Raw genomic sequence first — 23,526 nt, forward strand, 5'->3', positions numbered from 1 at the left:
TACTAACTGCAAAGAAATGCAGTGAATCCAGACTTAACCCCAAAGCAAACCTCACCAGTGTCGGGGCTTGGAGTCGTGCTTTGAAATGACTGTCATTGTCTGGCTATGTCCAAGCCAAGGAGCTGTTTGTGGAGTGAGATAAAGAGCAGTGCTGGGCTTGGGAAGCGGGGCTTGGTTCTTTCCCGGTGGCTCTATCCAGAGAGGAAGCACGTGGGCTTGCACACCCACTCACTCCCTGAAGTCTCCAGCTGGATCTCAGTGGTGACTTCATTTCCCCTAATTAGGTGTCTACAAACTCTCTGGAAGGTTCCAACCAGTAAGCCACACTGATCGTGGTGTGGGAGCTCCTGATATGCTTGTTTGCACTGTCCCTTTGGGACCCTGCAGGCCCAGCTGAGTGATAACTGGATGATGGAACGTTTGCTAGAGGAAGGGGAATGTGTTTTTTTAAGATAAGGTTTGATCTCAAGCAGAAGGGCAGTTACCAGATGCCTCTGCAATGTCAAGCAGTGAGGAGTGGGTGCGCATTCCCTTGCCTGACGCCTTGCTGGGGGTAGTCAGATCCCCCAGGCAAACTCCTGCCTTAGGAAAGAGTTTCCTCTCATTCTTTCAGCCAGAGTATTGCCATTTTGCTCTGGTTTTAGACAGTATCGATGTTCCTCGTAAGATTTTCTGTGGATGAAAAGGCTTTTGCCGAATGTAGCTATCCTAGGTCATTGTGGGGAAGTATCCTTGTCTTTTTCAGCATGCAGTGTCCATTGAGGACCGAGCGTGGGACTTGTACAGAATCCTGTTTTGTCACTTCTGCCCACATGTCCCAAATGCCAACAGGACCAAGGCCATAAAATACGCCTTTGGCACTTAAGACTTTCACTGGCCGGGCACAGTGGCTCACGCCTGCAATCCCAGCACTCTGGGAGGCCAAGGCGGGCAGATCACCTGAGGTTGGGAGTTCAAGACCAGCCTGACCAACATGGAAAAACCCCATCTCTACTAAAAATACAAAAAAAATTAGCCAGGCATGGTGGCACATGCCTGTAATCCCAGCTACTCAGGAGGCTGAGGCAGGAGAAGCACTTGAACCCAGGAGACAGAGGTTGCGGTGAGCCAAAATCACGCCATTGCACTCCAGCCTGGGCAACAAGAGTGAAACTGTGTCTCAAAAAAAAAAAAGACTTTTACCATTTGGCTGCAGACCAACTCTCATCTCTTTTCTCTCCTTCCCGTCTCTTCTCCCAAAGTATCCTTCTCTCCATCCACCTTGAGCTTCTTTCTCTTTCTCTTTGAAAGGGCAGTTACCTCTGCTGAAATGTTCTTTTTTCTTTTTTATTCCTGGCAAACCAGAAGCAGTCCAGCATGGTGGGCTCTGGAATAAGACTACCTGGGTTTGAATCCCAGCTCTCCCCCTTTCAATCTGTAAAAGCATGAGCCAATTAAGCAGCTGCTTTGTGCCTCAATTTCCCCATCTGTGAAAGGGGCACCATAATAGTTCCTTAGATTTGTTGTGAGGATTAAGAGCTAAAACACAGAAAGCACTTGAAACCGTTCAACCCACAGTAAGTGTTCAACAAATGTAGGCTAAAATAATAATTTTAAAGACTCTCCTCTGTGAAAATCTTTTCCAACCTACCAGGCAGGATTAGCTTTTCCGTCTGGGCTCCAGAAAAAGACCAGCCACAAGAGGTTCTAGTTATTTATTTTATAAGTTAGGTATTTTACCCCTAGCCTGAGAATTCCTAGAAGACAGGGCCTAGGTCTAGGCAATAAGAATGACATTTACACCAGTAGGTGCCAAGCTCTGTACCATGTTTTTTTCTCATGCGCTTTTTAAAATTATGACACAATTCACATTTACCCTCTTATAGTACACAATTCAGTGGTTTTAGTATATTTACAAAGTTATGCAACATCACCATTATCTAATTCCAGAACTTCCCAAAAATATAACCTGTATCCATTAGCGGTCATTCCCCAATTCTCCCTCCCCCATTTCCTGGCAATCACTAATCCACTTTTGTCTCATGGATTTGCCTATTCTGGACATTTCATATAAACGAAATACAATATGTGTCCTTTTGTATCTAGTTTCTTTCACTTAGCACAGTGTTTTTAAGGTTCATTCATGTATTAGAATTTCTTTCCTTTTCATGGCTGAATAATATTCCATTGTGCGGATATACCACATTTGGTTTCTTCATCAGTGGTGGCCATTTAGGTTGCTTTTACTTTGGGGCTATTGTGAATGACGCCGCCATGAACATTCACGTACAGGATTTTGTGTGAACATGTTTTCATTTCTCTTGGATATATATATCTAGGAGTGGAATTGCTAGCTCCTGTGGTTTAAACCTCTATGTTTAACTTTTGGAGGAATGGCCACACTGTTTTCATGTATCTGCACCAATTTATTTTCCCACCAGCAATGTATGAGGGTTTCAATTTTTCCATATCCTCACCACACTTGCTGTTCTCTTTTTTATCACAGCCGTCCCAGTGGGTGTGAAGTGATTTCTCCCTGTGGCTTTAATTTGTGTTTCCCTGAAGGCAAATGGGGTTGAGCATCTTTTCATGTACTTAGTGACCATTTGTATATCTTCTCTGAAGAAAGGTCTACTAAAATCCCTTTGCCCAGTCTTTAGTGGGGCTATTTGTATTTTTATTATTGAGTTGTGAACATCCTTTATATGTTTTGGATACAGGTCCCATATCAGATATATGATGTGCAACTATTTTCTCCCTTCTGTGTGGTTGTCTTTTCACTTTCTTCATGGTGGTCTTGGAAGCACCAAGTTTTAATTTTGAAGTCTCATTTATTAATTTTTTCTTTAGTTGTTTGTGCTTTTCCTGTTATATCTAAGACACTATTACCTAATTCAAGACCACAAAGATGTACCATATGCTTTTTAAAAGTGATCTTATTTACAATAACCTTATGAGGAGAGTAGTAGACCCACACAGATAAGGAAACTAAGTGGTCAAATGCTGGAGCTGGGACTTCAACCCAGTTCACTTTGACTCTGAAGTTCATGTGCATCTTACTGTGCCTCCTCGCCAAGTCCCTTTACCTCTGCACTCCTCACAGGGCTTGGTGCAGTGGCTGGTGCGTGGTAGGCCCACAGGTAAGGTACATTGGGTGGATGAATGACAGGCCCTAACAGGTACACAGCTTGCACTTGCTGGTTGGTTCAGGAAGAGTGGGATTTGCGCTTCAGTTTTCCTGCTGACTGGGGGTTCGTGTCTGTGATGCTAGAGGTTACCAAGAGTCTCTCTCCTCTCTCACCTCTGCAGTGTCTCATAGTTGGGGGAGGACCCTGTGGCTTGCGCACTGCCATTGAACTTGCCTACCTGGGAGCCAAAGTGGTCGTGGTGGAGAAGAGGGACTCCTTCTCCCGGAACAACGTGCTACACCTCTGGCCTTTCACCATCCATGACCTTCGTGGCCTGGGAGCCAAGAAGTTCTATGGGAAGTTCTGTGCTGGCTCCATCGACCATATCAGTGAGTGGAGTCTATGGTGATATCCCATGAAGGGAGGGGACTGACCCTGGGTGGGACATATCTCTCCAGGTCTAGGAGTCCCCAGCTTGTTCCATCTTAGTCCCTGGGGGCACCATATATCAGACTAACAGACAACTAGTAAAAGGCCTGCTTTGTGCCTTGTTCTGGGCCCTGGGTTATCCCCCAGTGGACTGTAAGCACCATGAGGTCAGGGATTGCAGCATGCCTTAATCACCAGACTATCTCCAGGACATGAAAGAGTGCTTGACTCATAGCAGATGCTTGATAAACATCTGTTGGATGATTGAGTGAAACAGAGAAACAGAGGCAGAGGTAAATAGCATAGCCTGCACCCTGATGGAGCGCATTAAGATTTTGTTGGTGGTAATGTGTTCAACAGGGTTAGTCACACTTGCTAAAGGAATTTGGAGGAAGGGGCCACACAAAACCATTAATGGGCCAGATAGTCAAGACCTTCCATACAAAGGAGTTTGGACATTGTGCATCGTGCTGGTGTTGCTGGGGAGCCATGGCAGGTTTTAGAGCAGAGGAAAGAAATAATTGGATCCTTGTTTCCTGATGGATCCCATACCAAAGTTTTAAAAATATGAGCTTTAAAAAGAGAGAGAACATCATGATGGGACTTCAACCAGAATAGGAAGGAAAATAGAGAATGTGGACTTCAGGTCCTGGGCATCCCTGAATGCTTATATAGGGAGAGACGAGTGCTGAGGCCCTTCTGCTCTGATGTTCCTCAAGCCTGGAGCTCTCTGGGCTAGGTCTGTGCAGACGGGTTTTGGGAAAGGCAGCCTTCCTTCCTGCAGCTTTGCAGTGGGGAGGTCTTTAGCTGTTTTATATGCAGTTGACGCTTGAACAACACAGGTTTGAACTGCAAGGGTCCACTTATACATGGTTTTTTTCAACCAAACACCTGCAGGATGTAAAACCCACCTATATAGAAAGCTGACTTTTTGTATACTTGAATTCCACAGGGCCAACTTCAGGACTTAAGTATGCATGGATTTTGGCATACTCAGGGGTTCTGGAACCAATCTCCAGCATATACTCAGGGATGATTGTATAGCAATAGTGACTCATGAAAGGGAGGTTAACACTATGGGGAAAGCTCAAGAGTTTGAACAGATTTGGGTCCAAAATATGTCTCTTCCATTTCTATCTGGCTTGGGGCAAATCCCTTACCCTCTTCAAGCCTCAGTTTTATCTCCTGTAAAGTGTGATTAATTTCTGTCTCCTAGAATTGCTGAGAAGATTAAATGAGGTCAAGTTTGTAATGTGCTTTGCACTATGCCTAGCACATAGTAAGTGCCCAGGAAAACACATTGCATCCCATGCTGTACAGTGAGCAAGAAGCAGCCATCGTCCCCAGACTTCAGAATCCAGAGCTGCTTTCTCTGTAGGGGTAGGTGGGAGGAGGGCCCTGAGAGCCATGTTCTTATGAGGACAAGAATTGATGGGAAAAAGGAATGAGGCTTGGGCGGGAACAACTGGAGAGAATTATCAGTCACATAGGGTATAATTTATTCAGACACAGGAGAATTTACCAGCTGTGCCCCCAGAGTTTATTCACACTTTGAGATGAGAAAATTCCAGGAGTCCAGTGGAAATTTGGATTTACTCAGAAAGCTGCAGTGTCAGCTTTCAAGATGTGCTCTCCCGCCTATGGAAGAATGTATGTCGGTTACCAATTTAGAACCACTGTATTGAGCACCACTTTCTCATCAAGTTCTCTTGGGGGGCAGAACTGGGTACCAGGATGCCTTGTGGGGCCCTGGGCTGGTTGGGCTGGCTTCCTGGCCAGGAGCCCTTCTCTGCCCTCATTGATGGGGCTTTCATTGAACCCCTAGTCCTTGGAAATCCTGCAGCGTGCCGTAATGCCGGTGGGACTCTAGAAATAACATTGAGACAGGCAGAATGATCATTGTCAAGGGTAGCTCCAGTACTTGTGAGAAAGGAGGCAAGGAGAATTTATTGAGCACCTACTGTGTGCTGGAACCGTACTGAGTAGGAACCTCAGGACTATAAGGAAAGGCCAGGTCTCCCCTGGCAGGGTGGTTCATGGCAGGAGGTGGATTGGGCTCTTTAAGCTGATTGGCTTTGGATCACCCCAGCCACATCTCTAGCCTCAGCTGCACCATCATACTCAGCACTGCTCAGCAGTTCTCCATGTCTGTGTTAACTTCCTCCTCCAGTTCCCACTGTGGCCATTCCAAACCTCCAGCACGGTGACCTCATTCCTAGCAGATGGCCTCCCTCCTGTGTTCCTGTTCTAGGCCCGCTTTTCTCCCCTGCTGCCCCAGCACCCATTCCTTCCTCGTGTCTCATGCCAGATCACAGCTTATGCCTCCTTTCCAATTCCAATCCCTCTGGCTTCCTTCCTTCCTTTCTACCTGCCCCATCACTGAGTCTTCCTGCTCCTCCCCTCATGCCAGCCCTCCAGCCCTGTTGCTGCCCTGCCACTTTTCCTTGCCATAAGGTATTTATTCTAGAAAGAAGGGCGTAGACTTGGTCCATGCTTTCCATTCAAACCTTCTAACGTCGCAGTCTGCTGTCTTCCCCACCTGTGTGCTAAAGAGATTTTCAGCAGTGTCTCCAAAAGCTCCCAAACCCCCAAGTTTATTGGGCTCTTGTCACCTTCACAGCCCTTCCTCTCTCTGTGGGATTTGATATTCTTGGTCCCTCCTCTCTTGGCTTCCAGGACCCCCACTAAGGCCCTGTTCTACCACCATCACCCTCCCCCAACCACCATGTCTTGCCCCATTCTATTTACCTCTGTTCCCTCCATTAGAGGGTGTGTTCTGTATCTCCTGTGCCTAGCATGGCACCTGACATAGTATAGATGCTCAATAAATACTAAGTAAGTCAAACCCACCAAATACAGAAGGGCCCACAGAAAGTTTAAAACTTCTCACTCTACAGAAAAGTATTTGGAGGCATACGCATTTGTGCTGAATGGCAGGAGACAAAACAGAAATGAGATTCCACTCACTAGGGGAGTTTTGAAGTGTGGGTAAGAGATGGGGAACCATGACCCAGCTTTGTGGGGAAAATTTCCTACCCACTCCTCACCACTGGATGTCTAAGAGCTGAGGCGTAGGCCCCATGTAATGAGTCACTGATCACGGTCTTCACTGAGGCCCTTTACTCTTCATTTCATCAAACCCAGAGCCCAGCTGGGGAAGGAGGCTGGAAAGACAGAGCTTCTCTTGTTACAGCATCATCTAGCAGCTAGAACAGGGTCTAGAAATCAGACAGATGTGGGTCCATGTTCTAGCTTTGCTCTGTGTCGCCTTGAGCAAGTCATTTAACTTTGTTAAGCCTCAATTTCTCATCTACAGAATGAGAATAATAACGATTCCAAAGGGCCACTGTAAGAGTTAGATGAGAAAACACAGAGCTCTTGGTGCATAATCCCGCTCAGTAATGATCATTGTTGGTATACTGCTGTGCTCAAAGGTCACTGAGCGGCAGTGATTATGTAGCATTCTGCATATAGGTGGTGTTCAGGTATTGCTGTGACAGTTCCTCTCTCCTTCCTGCCTGACAGGTATTCGCCAACTACAGCTCATCCTATTCAAGGTGGCCCTGATGCTGGGAGTTGAAATCCATGTGAATGTGGAGTTCGTGAAGGTTCTAGAGCCTCCTGAAGATCAAGAAAATCAAAGTACAGTATAATTTTCTTTTTCTGCCTAGAAAGCAGATACTACAAAATAGAAATTCCACTTGCTGCTTCCAAAGGGTGTTTCTGTAGGAGTTATTCTTACTGGGAGCTGGTTGGCATAATGCCACTGAAGGGTATTTTACTGTTTTTTTTTTACCATTGCTATGACTTTAGGTTTGCTGTTTGGCTCCAAGGGGATTTATGATTAAGCCATTAAACCTGTAATTTGGTTACCCTGTCCCAAGGGGTTGCTACTTTGGCAAAGGAAATCTAATCAATAAATAGGACAGAAGACATAGATTTGGTTGTTTGGTAAGGTTCATTCACGTGTTCTTCAAGCTGTGTGTGTGTTTAACACATAGATGTGGTTGTACTTGTACCCATGGCACATTTTAAAATCCAGTAAAGTGAAGCTTCTAGAGCAACTGTGAAATAAGGTTCAAGATGTTATTTGGTATATAATACTCTTAACCATGTTGAGGTATCATTTATAAACTATGATATTTGCCCGTATAGGCATATCATAATGTTTCTCTTTTTTCCTTTTAGCATGTTTGTTTAAATTCTTATCCCTTACACACACCATGGTCAGAGAGTTTATTCAGGATGCCTCTGCATCTTACTTATTATTAAAAGTATCTACCGCCTGGGAAGGGCTTTGAGTTTGGGACCAGCTTAGTGTCAGAGACCTTGTGGTTTCCTGCTTAGGGTACATTTCTGATTTCTCCTGTCCTCTGCCCAGATTATTTGAGAATTTAGGGGAGGCTTTAGTTAGCTTTTGGAGCAGGACAGCATTCACTATTTGGCATTCAGAGACTGTGTACTCTTAACCTTTTCCAGACCTCTAGTGGACATTAAATCTTAATTAGCCAGGCTTCACCTGATTTTTTTTTTTAAATAAAAGACAGTGTAGTGTACAACAGAACATTTTGAGCATACAATAGAAATTAAAAGTGGTTTCCTTACACCCTACATATCCTTTTGGGTCTGTTTAGCAATGAGAGGCACTGAAGAATGTGGGAGAATGTGAAGAGAAGATGGTGGACTTTGTTGAGAATGATAAGATGCAAATGAGAGTAGTTTATGGAGCATTGAGGATAGACTCCTAGCGGAGGCCAACAAAACCAGGCATGGAGTTGGTGTTGCTGGTTTACTTCATCCTGGATTGAACTGACACTCAGGTCAGAGGACACCAGATTAGAGAGTGAATCTGGACTGCTCTAGCCTTTCCCCTGGAGGCTCTCTCTGTGATACACAGACCTGGCTGCACTGTCCATTTCTCATAGCCACCACACGGGGGGTATAATCATTCTCTTCCCACCTCTCTCTGCCAACTCATCTCATTTCTCTGTCCTGGTAGAAATTGGCTGGCGGGCAGAATTTCTCCCTACAGACCATTCTCTGTCGGAGTTTGAGTTTGACGTCATCATTGGTGCCGATGGCCGCAGGAACACCCTGGAAGGTGAAGACTCTTCTTCTTGGTGTGGGAATGGGGGGATGGGAATGGGAGAGGGTACATTGGGGAAGAGTTGGAGAAAGTGGGCAAGATGCAGATGCCAGAGCTGGATGGAGGTTTTGATAGGAGGGCAGACCATCCTGTCCCTCTTGAGGTAGAACAGCCCATCCACCTGTGGGGTGGGCAGTTCAGGGGACAGCCATCTCATTCCGTCTGAACCTCAGTTTTCTCAGCTGTAAGATGTGGATCACAGAACCCTTTCAAAGTGTTGTTATGCGGGCTGGGAAAGGACTGGTATGTGAAAATGCTTTATAAAGATAAAGTGTCATGGGGGAAAAATGAACATCCATTATTGAGCACCTCCTGGTGTGTGAGCCATGGTGCCGAGCACTTTCATACTTACTTCAGCTAAGATAAACATTTTTATAATACTATTAATGGTATTCGCTTACTTTCAAGTGTAATATTATTTATACTTGAAGGAGGAACTCACCTCTTTTTGTAACTTTTAAGCACTGCTGGGCAGGCAGGTATGTCTTGCCAAACTGTCAAGGTACAAAGGCCACACTTCTCTGAGTTCTAAAGCTGAAGCATAGTATCTTTCGTGGGGTAAGATCCTGTCAGTTTGTGAGAGAAACCCCATTGCCAGAAAATGCTTCCGTCCCCTCCACCTCAACACCAAGACTGATCCATCCACAGGCTGTACTCATTGATATTAACCATGCTAAATTGAGACCATGGGTTATAAACAACATGGCCCCAAATAGGGCAGTTCTGCTTTTTGAGCCTGCCCCCTCAAGAGCCACAGGCTGCAGATGCCTGACTGAGAGGATACGTCACTCTGAGGATGGGACATGCTCCCTGGAACAGGGCTAATCTTAGAAAACTCAGGATCTGTGGGCCGCCTGGCTCAGGACCTTCCCATCTGCCACATAACTGGGGCTGTTTGCCACTCCCTTTTCCCTTTCCATACCCACCTCGCCAACCATAGGTCATCAATATCTGACAGGGAATGTTTAAGCTGCCAACTTGGATGTAGTACTGTTGGAATTTTACACTTGGTAAAAGTGTAAGTTAGAATATTTGAGAATCCAGGACCCATTTTCAGCTTGAGTATAGTTGGGCATTTCTTGAACATGGAAAGAAGGGTGGAGAGTGATGGAGCCATTTGAGCCACTCAAGGCCAAATGGGTAAACTAGAGCAGGGCTTCTTAGTATAAACACTGCAGACGTTTGGGGCCACACCATTCTTTGTCACAGAGACTGCCCTGTGCATTGTAGGGTGTTCAGCAGCATCCCTGGCCTCTGGCCCCCCAGACACTGGCAGCACCCCCAGGTGCGACAACCAAATATGTCTCCACACATCACCAAGTGGCCCCTGGGAACAAAATCACCTCCAGCTAAGAAATGCTAGATGAGAATAATGGCCATTTCTGACCCTTTTGACAAAGGTCTAATGAAGGACAACTTAAAAGAGGACTATTGAATGGAAACCCAAGGTTGTTGGCCAGGCGTGGTGGCTCACACCTGTAATCCCAGCACTTTGGGAGGCTGAGGTGGGCGGATCACCTGAGGTCAGGAGATCGAGACCATCCTGGCTAACAGGGTGAAACCCCATCTCTACTAAAAACACAAAAAATTAGCCGGGCATGGTGGCACGTACCTGTAGTCCCAGCTACTCGGGAGGCTGAGGCAGGAGAATTGCTTGAACACAGGAGGTGGAGGTTGCAGTGAGCCAAGATCGCACCACTGCACTCCAGGCTGGGTGACAGAGCAAGACTCCATCTCAGAAAAAAACAAAACAAAACAAAAAAAACCCCAAGGTTGTCACTAAAAGGGATTTTTGACAGATGAGTGAGAATCAGCATGAGGCTGGAGTACATGGTGAGCAGATGTGTGGGGCATTCCCAAAGGTGGCTAAGGAAAGGTTATGTCTGGAGGTCTGCACCTGTGTGACAGGCACCTGGCCTTACACAAAGTACACAGCATGCCTGGGGGCAGGGGCACTCAGGAAAGGTCAGATGACAGCAAGATGGGGGACTAGGAGGGAGACACACTGTTGAAAAGTGGCCATCTGTTGTGTGGAACCCCTATTAACCTCAATAGGGAAAGTACCAAGTTCAAGAGGCCAAAGAAGAGCCCAAGAGCCAGCAAAATAGACATGGGGTTTTATTAGGGATTCACAGGGGAGAGAGTCCAGTGGCAGTGGGTTGGACAGGAGACCCGGCTTCCCTGCAGAAACGGTCCAATGGCGGCGGGCTGGACAGCACAACAGCCCAGTGGTGGCAACCTGGGCAGGAAAACCGCAACTGCTTGCAAACAGCATGCAGTTTATTCAGCATTTTCACTTAACACCCTCCTCTTAACCTCCACCTGGCAACCTTCATCCAACCCAGAACTCAGGGCCTGGATCCCCCTGCATGGTCCATGTTCCACGGGATGGGCCAGGAGCTCAAATGTCCCTCATAGACAAAGAAGAAGTCTCGGGGTTGGCCACTCCTGGATTCCCCAGCTCAGAACACACATTCAGGTGCATCAGCCATACAGGGTCTTTCTAAAGGTGCGCTTCAGTTATTGCTGTCAGGTGCGTTTACCCTGCACCAGCTGCTGTGATCCTCCATAGCACTGCCATTCAAGAGCAATTTTAATGTAAATCATTGAAAACAAGAATTAGAGCACTAAGCCTGGGCAACATGATGAAACTGTGTCTCCACAAACACTTAAAAAAAAATAAATAAGGCAGTCATGGTGACACATGCATATTGTCCCAGCTACTTGCTGGCTGAGGTGGGAGGATCGCTTGACCCTGGGAGGTCGAGGCTGCAGTGAGCCATGATTGGCACCGCTGCTTTCCAGCCTGGGCAACAGAGCGAGACCCTGTCTGAAAAACAAAACAAAACAAAACAAAAAACGAATGAGAGCTAGAATTCCATTTATTCATTTATACATGCATTGTAGATGTATTAAATGCCAGTTACTGGGAACTGGTGTACTATTTTCCTCTTTTCAAAGGACACCAGTCATATTGGAGTAAGCTGGGTCCCACCCTACTCCAGTATGACCTCATCTTAGCTAATTACACCTGCAATGACGCTATTTCCAATAGAGTCACATACTGAGGTACTGGGGTTAGGATTTCAACACATGAATTTGTGTGTGTGTGTGTTGGAGAGGCACATAATACAACCCAAAAAATTGGAGATATGAAGAAAATTTGTTAAAATCCCTGTCCTGCAGGAATTCAATGTGATCTACTTTTCAAGGGGGTCAGGAGCGGTGGCACCATAAGAAATGCTAACAGAGTAGTTTTCATCCTATAAATTCAAAGTGCATGTGGGTCTCTCATGAGTGTATCTAGCAACAATGCCTGACACATCCTTACAAGGGTACACCCTGTGACTGCCTGTTGGGAAGGATCGCTTTTCCTTTTGTTTATTGAAGCCTAACCAGGTCCTGTAGATTTTAGAAACGGACAGTCTCACTGACTTTTAAAAGCCTTGGGAGCAAACTTCGGTATTTCTGCCCGCTCCTGTCCACTAGAGATCCAGAATCCTGGTTTCACTGGCCTGGGAGGCATCTGGGAACAGCTCTCCCAATAATCATTTTCAGTTTTCACACCAAATCCAGAAGATAGACCCACTTTTTCATTTCTCCTCATGCAGGGTTCAGAAGAAAAGAATTCCGTGGGAAGCTGGCGATTGCCATCACCGCCAACTTCATAAACAGAAACAGCACAGCGGAAGCCAAGGTGGAAGAGATTAGTGGTGTGGCTTTCATCTTCAATCAGAAATTTTTTCAGGACCTTAAAGAAGAAACAGGTGGGACCTTCACCTTTCTCCCAACCAGGCCAAGGTCTAAAGTTTGCAGTTTCTAAAGTGTGCAGAGGCGTGTGCTGGCTTTCTGGGCTCTTGGGCCTCGAGGGACTCACTCTGATAGAGTGGAAGCAATGATTTTCCCTAGGATAGTGAATACAGACAGGATTCCTTCTGGGACAAGAGAGATTCTTGAGGGAATGTTCTGGATGTTGTACATGAAAGGAGATAGTGGACATTTGCTGAGTGCTCATTACATGCCAATTCTCAGTGTTGGGTAAAAAGTGAAGGTTGACACGATCCTTCCCACAGTGGCTCCCTGTCCAGTAAGGGATATCTGTATAAACCATCCTAAGGCAGGTGGCCAGCACCGCACCTGAGGTCAGCATGATATTTAGGGAATGCTAAGGAGGGAGCCAGTCACCTATGGATGGTTCCTAAAGGTTCCCGGGTGAGTTTGTGCAATACAGCACTGCCCTTCCCCAAGAAGGACATCTGGATACGCCCAGGAACATAACCTGTACTGGCACCAGTTGTCACCCAGCCATGGGCCTAGAGGATAGGAGGTATTGATTCATTCACTCAATATTTATTGAATGCCTACTGTGTGCCAGATGCTGTTCTAGGGCTTGAGAATGAGCAGTGAGCAAAACAAAATCCGTCCCTCCTGGGCTTATATTCTACGAGAATAGACAGTCAATACACAAATAAACCAGTGACTCATCAGGTGGTAATAGGGACGGCAGAGAAAAACAGGGTGAGGGGAAAGGGGGACGAGTCACCTCTCTCCAATTAAGTAAATTCCAGATACTTTTCCTTTCTTTTTAACCTGATTAAAAACACAGATTTCTCCTTGAAAAGCAATGTAACAACAATGTTAAATAAAATCTGTATATGGAAAATAAATCATCCGCAATCTGACCGCCCCACACGAGAATAGTCTTCAGACTCACCTACTCCTTTTCTGTAATTTTCCACCAGCGTTCTTGCTTGTTATGTGACTGTAGCTTAAATCGCAGTGTCCACACTCTTTAGTCAGCTTTTCTCATTCAGTGTCACATTCCAAACATCATCCTTCTGGTGGTCACTTTTAGGGGCTGTGGAATATCTCATCAAATTGATGTATTGTCACTGCCTAAGCATTGAAACCAGGGATTAGCAAACTATGGCTGGCCACATGGTTCTATACTGCCTTCGAGCTAAGAATGGTTTTATATATAGGCTGAATAAAACAATCAGAATATTTTATGACACATGAAGTTTATTTAAAATTCAAATTTCAGCATCCATAAATAAAAGCTGATTGTCGCCCAGCCATGTCCATTTCTTTACATAACTGTTGATGGCTGCTTCCACCATGAGAGATCATGAAAGAGACCATAGGGCCCACAGGCCAGAAATATTTCCTAGCTGGTCCATCACACACACACACACACACACACAACTTGCTGACCTCTGATTTAGGCCTTCCAGTTATTTACTGTTACAGATAACACTGCTTCTGTTAAATTATTTCTTTAACATCATTTCCTAGGAATGGCATTAGTTGTTGAGCAAGATTGTACTTCTCACTGGCCTGGAGGGTATGTGCTCACTGCACAACCCTCTCAGTTTCACCTCCATTGCATTATTCCATTAAAAGCTTGAATATTTCCTGCCAGCATATGGTGTCCTTTTGAATGCTTTGAGAATCCTCCAACCCTCCCTTCCTCTAAAAAACCAAGAAAATAAATACTTAAGCCACTCAATATAAATGAGAGCAGGACATTGAGTGGGTTTTTCCACGTTTCAGTGAACTTCCTTGAAACTTTGCTGTGGTTGTCACCTTCGGCCATCGTTTCACAACAGTGCCCTCAGACAGTGACAGTCGCGACCTTCCTGATTCTCCTGGGGGCCCTCTGCATTGATGCCTGTTTCCTATTTAACCGTAATAAAGGTGCTCCTATGGTTACCCAGCACGCCTTGTGTAAATGCTGATATGTCGCCATGTGCCTGTTCCTTTCTCTCCCTTCAAATAAGCCAGTCAGCCTCACACTTGAGTATGAATTGGCATCACCTAGAGCTTGTTAAAGCACAGCGTGCTGGCCCTATCCCCAGGGTTTCTGATTCAGTGAGTCTGAAGAAGGGCCCTGATAATTTGCATTGCTAGTATGTCCTCAGGTGATGCTGATGCTGTTGGCCAGAGACCTCCCTTTGAGAACCGTGGAGCTAAGCTCTCATTGCACAGCATGGTTTTAAATGCAGGAACTTAGTGTGTAAAATGTCTTGTGATTGGTGGAAAGCACAAAAAGATACAGCCCAGCCTTCTAACCTGAGTTGTTCCTACCACTGCACTCGGGTTTTCACATACAAGCCGGGAAACAGTAGAAATATTCCTTGGCATAGTCATTGGAGAATTCCCACAGCTCTATGCTACTATGGGCGCATGGAGGGCACAGTGGACAGGACTTGGAGCTAGATGGGCTGGGGTTCAAATCCCAGCCCTGTCATTGCTGAGCTTCTGTGGCCATGGCCGGCACTTGGCTTTTCTGCACAATTACCCGGCTCTAACTTATACTGGCCCACAACCCCTACAGACGTTGTGAGTTTTAACAGGAATAATGCCGCTATAGAACTATAGAAGCTAGCTGCTTTGACTTGGGTAGATTCTGGCACTCTGTTTTATCTTTGCCAGCCTTGTGTGCCTTAAAAACTGGTCTAACATGAATATTCTGCAGATAAATAACAAGACCAATAGTGAGGCAAAGTACAGTTCCTGGCACACAGTTGGTGCCGAGGAAGTAACACTGAGCTTGTGAATGCTTCTCTTTTCAGGCATAGATCTTGAGAACATTGTTTACTACAAGGACTGCACCCACTATTTTGTAATGACAGCCAAGAAGCAGAGCCTGCTCGACAAAGGTGTCATCATTAACGTACGTACCTCTTGGCTGCGATTTCCCGACTTCGCGACCTGGGCTGGTGACATCAGCAGGTGTGAAGGCAGATGTCGTCCTGCCAGAAACTGAGCGAGGGGAGGAGGGGGGAAGGTGCCACCAGCTTACACCCTTCTTTTTCTTGGTGTTACATGAGTATTGGATAAAGGAGCCCACGCCAATATGCACAGAGAATTTTCTGCAGAGGGACGTGTGCTGCTGTGAGACCTTTACCAGGTGTTAATGTGGATCAACTGAGTCTTTTCCTTCCCAAGTCTCATCCAGCCTTGCCTCTTCTCTGGGAGGTCACATGTCATTTGGAGGCAGATGGGGGCTCCTTGTCCTAATGAGACATAGGCATCCTTTGACTTGTGAATTTCATGCTGTGGAGCCTTGTCACAGTGTGGGGGAATTTCATTATTCATGCAGTCAAAAAGACTCGATCTGCATCTTGACTCTGCCACATACCTCCTCCAGACTGTGGGCAAACTGTGTATCCTTCCTGAACCTCAGTCTTCTTATCTACAAAATAGGAATGATAGTTTCTGCCTGAAAGGGTTCTTGGAAGGAGCAAACAGAAGATATATATAGAGCACCTGGCACAGTGCCCGGCAGAGGGTGGGTTTGTAGATTCCCTCTGTAACTTCTCAGCCTTGTTTGCACACTGGCTTTTTTGTCCTGCTGGCTTCCTGGCCTCTGCTTCGTGGCCTTGCGACTTCATGCTTAAGCACGGAGCAGGGTTGGAAGGAAGAAACATGGAGTAGTGGCCCCTGACTGGAAGCTTCTTCGGACAGGTGTACAACCCTTCCAGAGCCCCTGTAGTTGCTGCCACTGTCACTGCTGCTGCTGCAACCTCAAGATAAGGATCACACTGCCCAAGTTCAGCCTGCTGTCTGGGTGTCAGCCTGGAGCCCAGGCAGCACGGTGGCCATTCATTGCTGCTTGTCAGAGAAGAATGCAGCTATCTTCTTTCCTGCGTGTGCTGGCAGCCGTCTGGGTGGCATTAGTAACCCAGCCACCCCGTGGGCCTTCTCCACTTCAGCTCAGGTCTTTGCTGAGAGCCTGAGTTGTAGACGGAGGCTGTGAATGCGGGCTTGGTGAAGTGGGCTGAGCACGCCAGCAGATGGGTGGGCGATGGGCTTCAGCAGTGTCCCACTGCTGACTGTCAGTCTGGGAGTGGTGGCGTCCCCTTCTTCCCTCTGCCTCACAGAAGTTGCCTCCTGAAGTTGCCGCCTTAGTCTGAAACTGGGGGGTGCAGGGGTGTAGGGGTAGCGGGCAGCTTTGCAGAGGAGAGGTTAGGCAGGCAGGCAAAGCTTGATGGGTTTTGTGTTTTGCAGAGCACCGTGGCCTCCTGGGATGCTAAGGTCACCCTCAGGTCATCCCAGGTGTTTGCTCATGGCAACTCGCTTCCCTGGCGGTTGTCAAAGCCCCTCCAGGCCCATGCTTGTCTTCACCAAGGCCTTTCTTTCTCCTTCAGAGGCCCCTGGGAGCAGCTCCTGAGCTGGTGCTGAGGAGCCTCAAGGTACAAGATGGGAAAGAAATTGGAGGCCACAGGCTGGACACCTGATTGGAACAAGAGCTATAGCCTGAGCGTCCAGGTGTCCAGCCAAGTTCCCAACCCATCTTCCCTGAGCCGCTTAAATTTACATTGTTCTCTTGCTCCCTGGAGGAATGGCAAGTTTTCTGTTTTCCTCTCCCTACATGGATCCATATCTTCCTATAGCCACACAGAAGGTGCCAAGTAAATGTTTGTTGAATGAATGACTGACCTCTGGACAAGAGGTTTTCCTGCTTCCCCATTGATTCCAGCTGATCTCTGGGCTTCTTTCCATGGCTACCGAAGGAAGAGTAAAGTTTCTCTTCAAGCAGCCGTGCCTCTGGGCTCTCAGCTGTGCCCATCTTTCTCTTCCCCACAGGGAGGATGTCCCATCCCAGAGCCTCCCTGGGCCCCTGCCTCTGCTGGCCCATACGTGTGTGGGCTGGGATTCTGTCCTCCTGTCCTTGTCCTCATCTGCTCCCTATGGTTTTGCTCCTTCTTCCATCCCCCCACTCATCTGGGACCCTCCAGCCACTAAGAGACTCCACAGCAGCCCTAGGCCAGCTCTAGCCTAGTGTCTTCCCTTTGCTAGGTCCCCACTCTCCTGCATGAGGCGTCCACGCCAGGCACTGTCTTCACTGTGTAATGTCACCCACTCCATCTTAGGGATGCTTGGGTCATATTTTGAAGGGGGGGTGTTTGAGACCTCTCCCTTCTCTCTTCCCCCATCTCACCTCCACGCCTTCGGAGAGAGAAGTGATCATGTGACCGCGGAAACAGGGATCAGAAAGGAAATCAAATAACAGGAATTCCATCCTGGACACTGGGGCCTGACAAAGAGCTCTTGGACCAGTGCTGGATGCAATTTGGGCGGTTTGGTTTGAATGGGGGAAATATGAGTTTCCAGAACAGGGTATTTGAAATCATGGCTACTCAGAAAATTGAGGCAGTGGTCACTCTGGCTGTAAATGCGGCACTCTGTGATTGTCAAGACCTTTGTAATTGAGGGTGCCTTGGCTGGGTCCAGGATATACTTCATCATAAGCCATATCTGGAGCCAGCATGAATTACAGGGGACAGGAATTCCCATTCATCGGTCACTTCCCACATGGGGCTAGGGATTTCGTGTGTACACTCATTCCATCTTCTCATGTGGCTCTGTGAAGTAGGTTTTGATATTCCCTTTTTACAGATGAGAGAGTGGAGACTCTGAAAAGTTAAATAACTGGCCCAGATTTAGTTAGTAAACAGCAGAGGTGGACTTTGACCCGTTGCTCTCACTGGCCCCAAAGCCTGTGTTCATGTTACACACTGGTCCCCTCCCACTCCAGGTGTCTGTACTTTTTGTGTCACCTTTGAGAAAGGTGGTCTTTTAGTTTCTTTAGCCACACGGTGAGCAGCTTGGACTCTGGGGATACACTAAACTTGCCAGCTCTCTTCAATCCTCACATCCTGTGTTTCATTGCTAGTGTCCCTCCAGGATGGATATTCCAGTCCTCGCAGCTCAGGGCTCTGCACTCCCCATGAAAGAAGCATAACAATTAGCACCAAAAGCAAGCTACTGGGGAGGCTGAGGCAGGAGAATTGCTTGAACCTGGGAGGCGGAGGTTGCAGTGAGCCAAAATCACACCATTGCTCTCTAACCTGGGAGACAAGAGCGAAACTCCATCTCAAAAAAAAAAAAAAAAAAAAAAAAAAAGCTACGCTGTGAGAGCCCTCGGCCCATCAAGTAAAGGGGTCACTGATTTTGGAAAGTGTGAGAGGTTTCCCATTTTCTTTTTCTGGTCTTGTTTGACCACTAAACATGGCATATTTGGATCATACTCGCTTAGCTGAATTTATTATAAAATCACACTTTCTGATGGCTCCTTTGTCTCTTAATTGTACTGAAAGTTCTCATGAGAACCAGACCTATGAAATGTGCTCGTTGTTTGCTCCAAGACCATTATCAAGTGCACTGTTCATTACAACTCTCAACGCGCCCTGTTGAAATTCCTACGTGAGACAGATCTTTTAGAATTTAATGCCAGGGAAAAATTGCCTCCCCTGAGGAATTTCTACGCTTCCTTCTTTCTGATAAGGAGAGCTCTGGGGCATATCACATTTCCCTTTTGCCTTGGATGCCAGGAAGCTCAATGCCAAATTTGATGCTTAATCACAACCGTGTTAACCCTCACAGCTGGCTGATTTATTTCCTCTTTATTCCCTTGGTCCTGGTTTTTATATGTCTTTTCTGACTAGCCTCACTGTAGGGACCCATTCCAAGTCCTTTTGCCAAGAGGTGGGTATGAAGGCTAGCCCTTTAGAGGGGGAGGTTGCTGCACCATGTTTTCATCTTCCCCAGGACTACATCGACACAGAGATGCTGCTGTGTGCGGAGAACGTGAACCAAGACAACCTGCTATCCTATGCCCGGGAAGCTGCAGACTTTGCCACCAACTACCAGCTGCCATCCTTAGACTTTGCCATGAACCACTATGGGCAGCCTGATGTGGCCATGTTTGACTTTACCTGCATGTATGCCTCAGAGAACGCGGCCCTGGTGCGGGAGCGGCAGGCGCACCAGCTGCTCGTGGCCCTTGTGGGTGACAGCTTGCTTGAGGTACTGCCTGAGCTCGGAGCCCCCATGTTTCTCTGCGAGACAGATCCCACGTTTGTATTCTGGCAGGCAGTATCTGCTGTTGTGCAGCGGGGAGAGGACAGGCTCTCAGCCAGTTGGCAGGACTCTGCCAAGCCTGTCCCGGCCTCAGAGCCTGTCCTGTTGCTGCACTCAGAGGAGCCTATTCTGCCTCTGTGTAGTTAGGAGAGCCTTCTCTCCTATCTCCTGGCTCTTTTGCACTGACTTCTTTGATGAAGTACAAAATCAGGCAGCCCCGGTCTGGGCCATATGAGCCATCCTTCTCAGAGTGTGTGGACCCTCAGCTGGGCCGAGACTTCTTCCTCATGTGGGCGGCCCTTTGTGGCCTTTGAGATCACACGGAGTGCAGGAGAGGCCTATGGGCCCCAAAGTCTCCTTTCCATTCATAGCTTCCCTGCTGAAAATTCTTCCCAGAAAATCTGCAAGGGTGCAAGGATCCTTAGATTAAATGAATGTTTTCAGAAAGGAGAAAGTTTTCTCTTTAGTGTGAGCACTGATTATGTATTTATTCCAAGTTAAGAGTCAAATTCCAAACCATGCTTTGGGTGCTCATGGAGCAGATTAGTCAGCACTCAGCTTGGTTGACTTGGTCCTTGGGCACTATTGTGCATGGACTTGAACCTAAGGCCCTTGGTTGAGCCCTCAGTTCCCATCCTGCTTCTGGCCCAGACTCCTTTCCCAGCTCGGTTTCTCCCTCCCCTCCTCCCATGCTCCATGTTACACCCAGAACAGACGGCTGTTCTTCCATCAGGCGCCAGCATTTTCCAACCACCATGCCTTTGCCCACACCATTCCCAAGTAGCTCAGGATCAGAATCCCATCCATTTGTTAAAATCAGCTTAATGCAACTCTTAAGAAGCTTATTCTGATTTCCATCTCCCTCTCCCAGGATGGGAATTCGTCTCGCCTTTTCTGAGCCCTAAAGCAGTTTTGCTATGCCTGCGTCATAGCACCCTTTACATTTAACCTTCTGCTATAGTTATTTGACCTTGTGATGAATCCTCATAGGTAGCAGGGTCCCTGCCCTGTCACCTCTCTGTCCCTCCAGTGCCCTGCACAGTCCTGGCAATCAGTGTGTGCTGGGTCCAATGAGATCATAGATCGGGAGTCATCAGAATCAACTGGAATTTTGCACGTTTTCTTTTGCAGCCATTTTGGCCCATGGGTACAGGCTGTGCCCGTGGCTTCCTGGCAGCCTTTGACACGGCATGGATGGTGAAGAGCTGGAACCAGGGCACCCCTCCCCTGGAGCTGCTGGCTGAAAGGTGAGCTTTGACAGTAGGGCTCCTAACTGGGGGGCAGGGCACTCAGGCAGGAAAGGGGGCAAGATCACCCCGCAGGTGACTGCTGGATATACCTGGAGCCTCTGCCTCCTCCATTCTACCTTCCCATGTGTGGCCTGATTTGATCATCAGCATCCCCAAGGATGCTTTCTCCATCATTATCTGACTCTTACAGTGACTTTCTCTGGGGCCAGGACCTTGGGCCCTGGATGACAAAGAGAAATCTTCATCTAGGTTGGCCCTGCAGCTGGGGCTCCCCAGCATTGCTCATTCACCGAAGAGCCAGAGAGGTTTATTTAAGGGAATCTTCCAGGGCAGCGCTGAGTCTCCTGTCCTGGATGGGGGTTGGATTCTCTGGCTTTCCAGGCCTCTCACACCACTGAGATCCTGGGCTTCTTCCCAGACCCCTGCTGCTGGCCACGTGGCTGTGACAGCTGGTGGACGGGGGGAGGTCAGGGCTGGCGGGCGGAGGCAGGCCCTGACAATCTTGGGTGTGGAAGCCTGTGGTCGTGGGGAGCAGGCCGCAGGAGGCAGCGTGGCTGAACATGGTTATGGCAAAACCACAGGCCACCGTGCTGCCAGCCCTGCATCCCTCCCCCTGCCTGGGTGGAGGAGCCCAGCATCCCCGTCACCCAGGCGCCCCTTTCCTCTCGGCCCCTTTGACCTTCTCCCCACTTTGCAGATCTCAAGAACCAGGAGAGTCAGGTATTTCAGGGAAGGGTTAGACAAACATGTCCAGGAAGCCCTTGAGCCAGAGGAAGGGGGAAGTAGGGAAGGGTGGGGACAAGGCCTGAGGTGGCAAAAGTGATCCCTGACCTCCAGGCTCCGCCTCCCTCCAGGGAAAGTCTCTACCGGCTGTTACCTCAGACAACCCCGGAGAACATCAACAAGAACTTTGAGCAGTACACGTTGGACCCAGGGACACGGTACCCAAACCTCAACTCACACTGTGTCAGGCCCCATCAGGCAAGTCCATTGCTGGGGCTCTGTCTGAATCACTCTGCACTGAACAGTGGGAAGAGGTGGTGGGGAGGGGGTCACATTAAATTTTGGTCCATTCCTGGGACTAAGGCCACCAAGGCCTGCTGGCCTAATGGTGGGACCAGTTCTTCTCCCCACTCGAGTCAGCATTCTTTCTAGCCCGCAGGACAGAACTAGAACACATGTAGGGGGAGAGATTTATATGTATATGTGCATATATTTATATATATTGTCACTATGCATATGCATTGCTGATCTTACCTGTCTCAAATAAGCTACTTGGCCAAATATGATCTCTGCATACCACCCTTGGTCCTGGGGTCCATTTCTTCTTCCACTAATTTAAAGCCACCAAACTCTCAACCTCTTTGGTCAATAGAACAGAAAATTGTGTGAATTTTTAAAATTAGCTAATTACATACACACAAATTAGCTACAGACATTCCCACTTAGTTTGCCTGCATCTGGGTGGAAGATTGAGGCCCATTGCTCTATGACTGAAGTTGCCTGCGTTCCCTTGCCGAAGGTCATGCCTCCCAGCAGTAGAGGAAAATGGTGGCAGGCACTGAATTGGGGGTGGGTCGAGTTTAGGGGCCCTGAGACTAGGATTTGGGGGAAAACTGGTGGGCAAGCATGTCTCTCTTGCTCATAGGTGAAGCATTTGTATATCACTAAGGAGCTGGAGCACTACCCTCTCGAGAGACTGGGCTCGGTGAGGAGATCTGTCAACCTCTCCAGGAAGGGTAAGCGGCCCTCCTGGGACCCTGGTGGGTGGCTGGGAAGAGCTTTGAGGGGAGGAGGACTGCTCAGTGACCGTGGTGACACAGGCACTGCAACCAGCCTGGCTCTGCCCCTTTACCTGTGTGGTCATGGGCAGGCACCTGTCCTCTTTGTACTCCAGTTCCTCCTCTGTGAGACCAAGAGAACCCCTGCCCAGAGAATCATTATGAAGATGAAAGGAGCTAGTGTGTGTCGAGAGCTTCACACAGTAAACATGAACCAGGGGATTATTTCACTGGGACTTGTTCTTATTTTCCTGTTGTTTCCTGCATGGGGGCCTTGTCCCCTTAAGTAGATAATGAGCTTAATGCACTTCACCCTTTTCCTGATCATCCTGAGCCTAGCAGTGCTCTGGACACAGGACCAGTGCTCAACACAGGGAGATGGGATGGTTAAATGAGGAACTCCCAGCGCCCAGCTCAGCTCAGGATGCTCTCCTGCTTAGAGACCTCTTTGGCTACCTGTGCCTGTCCAGGCTTTGCCTCCTCTCCTTCCTTAGGCAAACTCAGCTGTACTCCTCCCTCCCCTCCACACACCACGACATGCCCCACTGCTGTAATAAACCACTTACCATAATCAACCATTTTACTGTTACGCAAACATAGCAGGTTTTTCTAGATTCTTAGCCACCACACAGTCCTTTCTGTCTTCCTGGAATGACTTCTTCCGTCTGATAAGTTCCTAGATGCTCTCAAAGAACAAGCTCAAACGTACCTCCCCATTACACTTTTCTTTGGAGAATTCCCCTCCCAGCGCAGACTCAGGCAAACCTGCTAATGTGCTCCCACAGCCCCCTGTTTCTCCCTCCATTGCAGCACTGTGTCATCATCACCCCCTCTGTGACTATCTTCCCCACTAGATGAGCATGTTGTTGGCAGGGCCTAAACACAGTAGGTCTTAGGAACTCTGCTGGAAGAGAACATGCTTCCTCTCCCCTCCTGCCACACTC

At 47.8% G+C, this 23,526-nt stretch overlaps 1 protein-coding gene and 1 long non-coding RNA gene across 24 annotated transcripts in view, besides 2 other annotated features; one reads left to right on the forward strand and one right to left on the reverse strand.

The window, feature by feature from the left end:
* Nucleotides 1–23,526, forward strand: part of MICAL2 (microtubule associated monooxygenase, calponin and LIM domain containing 2) — a 251,551-nt gene that overhangs the window by 90,372 nt on the left and 137,653 nt on the right. For 21 of the 22 annotated variants that reach the window (NR_144419.2, NR_144417.2, NR_144420.2 and 18 more), the window contains 9 exon segments: nucleotides 3,289–3,496; nucleotides 7,062–7,178; nucleotides 8,536–8,637; nucleotides 12,294–12,449; nucleotides 15,258–15,358; nucleotides 19,240–19,497; nucleotides 20,683–20,798; nucleotides 21,656–21,782; nucleotides 22,450–22,540. Coding sequence is in view for 16 of the 22 variants with exons in the window: in NM_001393937.1 (NP_001380866.1) it covers nucleotides 3,289–3,496; nucleotides 7,062–7,178; nucleotides 8,536–8,637; nucleotides 12,294–12,449; nucleotides 15,258–15,358; nucleotides 19,240–19,497; nucleotides 20,683–20,798; nucleotides 21,656–21,782; nucleotides 22,450–22,540 (1,276 nt within the window). In the remaining 6 variants the exon portion in view is untranslated. 22 annotated transcript variants of the gene reach the window in all.
* Nucleotides 13,521–23,403, reverse strand: LOC124902634 (uncharacterized). 2 transcript variants are annotated; one of them, XR_007062598.1, is made up of 3 exons: nucleotides 23,149–23,403; nucleotides 22,059–22,163; nucleotides 13,521–13,578 (listed from the first exon to the last, which is right to left on the reverse strand). It is a non-coding gene; the product is annotated as an uncharacterized LOC124902634 (long non-coding RNA). The 2 variants fall into 2 exon arrangements; XR_007062597.1 differs by lacking the exon at nucleotides 13,521–13,578 and adding an exon at nucleotides 19,842–19,952.
* Nucleotides 15,910–16,410: an enhancer, noted in NCBI's record as "H3K4me1 hESC enhancer chr11:12238418-12238918 (GRCh37/hg19 assembly coordinates)". NCBI's record gives its function as "activates a minimal SCP1, AML or CMV promoter by ChIP-STARR-seq in naive H9 embryonic stem cells {active_cell/tissue: H9 hESC(naive)}" and the evidence as "EXISTENCE:reporter gene assay evidence [ECO:0000049][PMID:30033119]".
* Nucleotides 16,411–16,911: an enhancer, noted in NCBI's record as "H3K4me1 hESC enhancer chr11:12238919-12239419 (GRCh37/hg19 assembly coordinates)". NCBI's record gives its function as "activates a minimal SCP1, AML or CMV promoter by ChIP-STARR-seq in naive H9 embryonic stem cells {active_cell/tissue: H9 hESC(naive)}" and the evidence as "EXISTENCE:reporter gene assay evidence [ECO:0000049][PMID:30033119]".

This window comes from Homo sapiens, chromosome 11 (assembly GCF_000001405.40).
Source record: "Homo sapiens chromosome 11, GRCh38.p14 Primary Assembly".
Taxonomy (NCBI): Eukaryota; Metazoa; Chordata; class Mammalia; order Primates; family Hominidae; genus Homo; species Homo sapiens.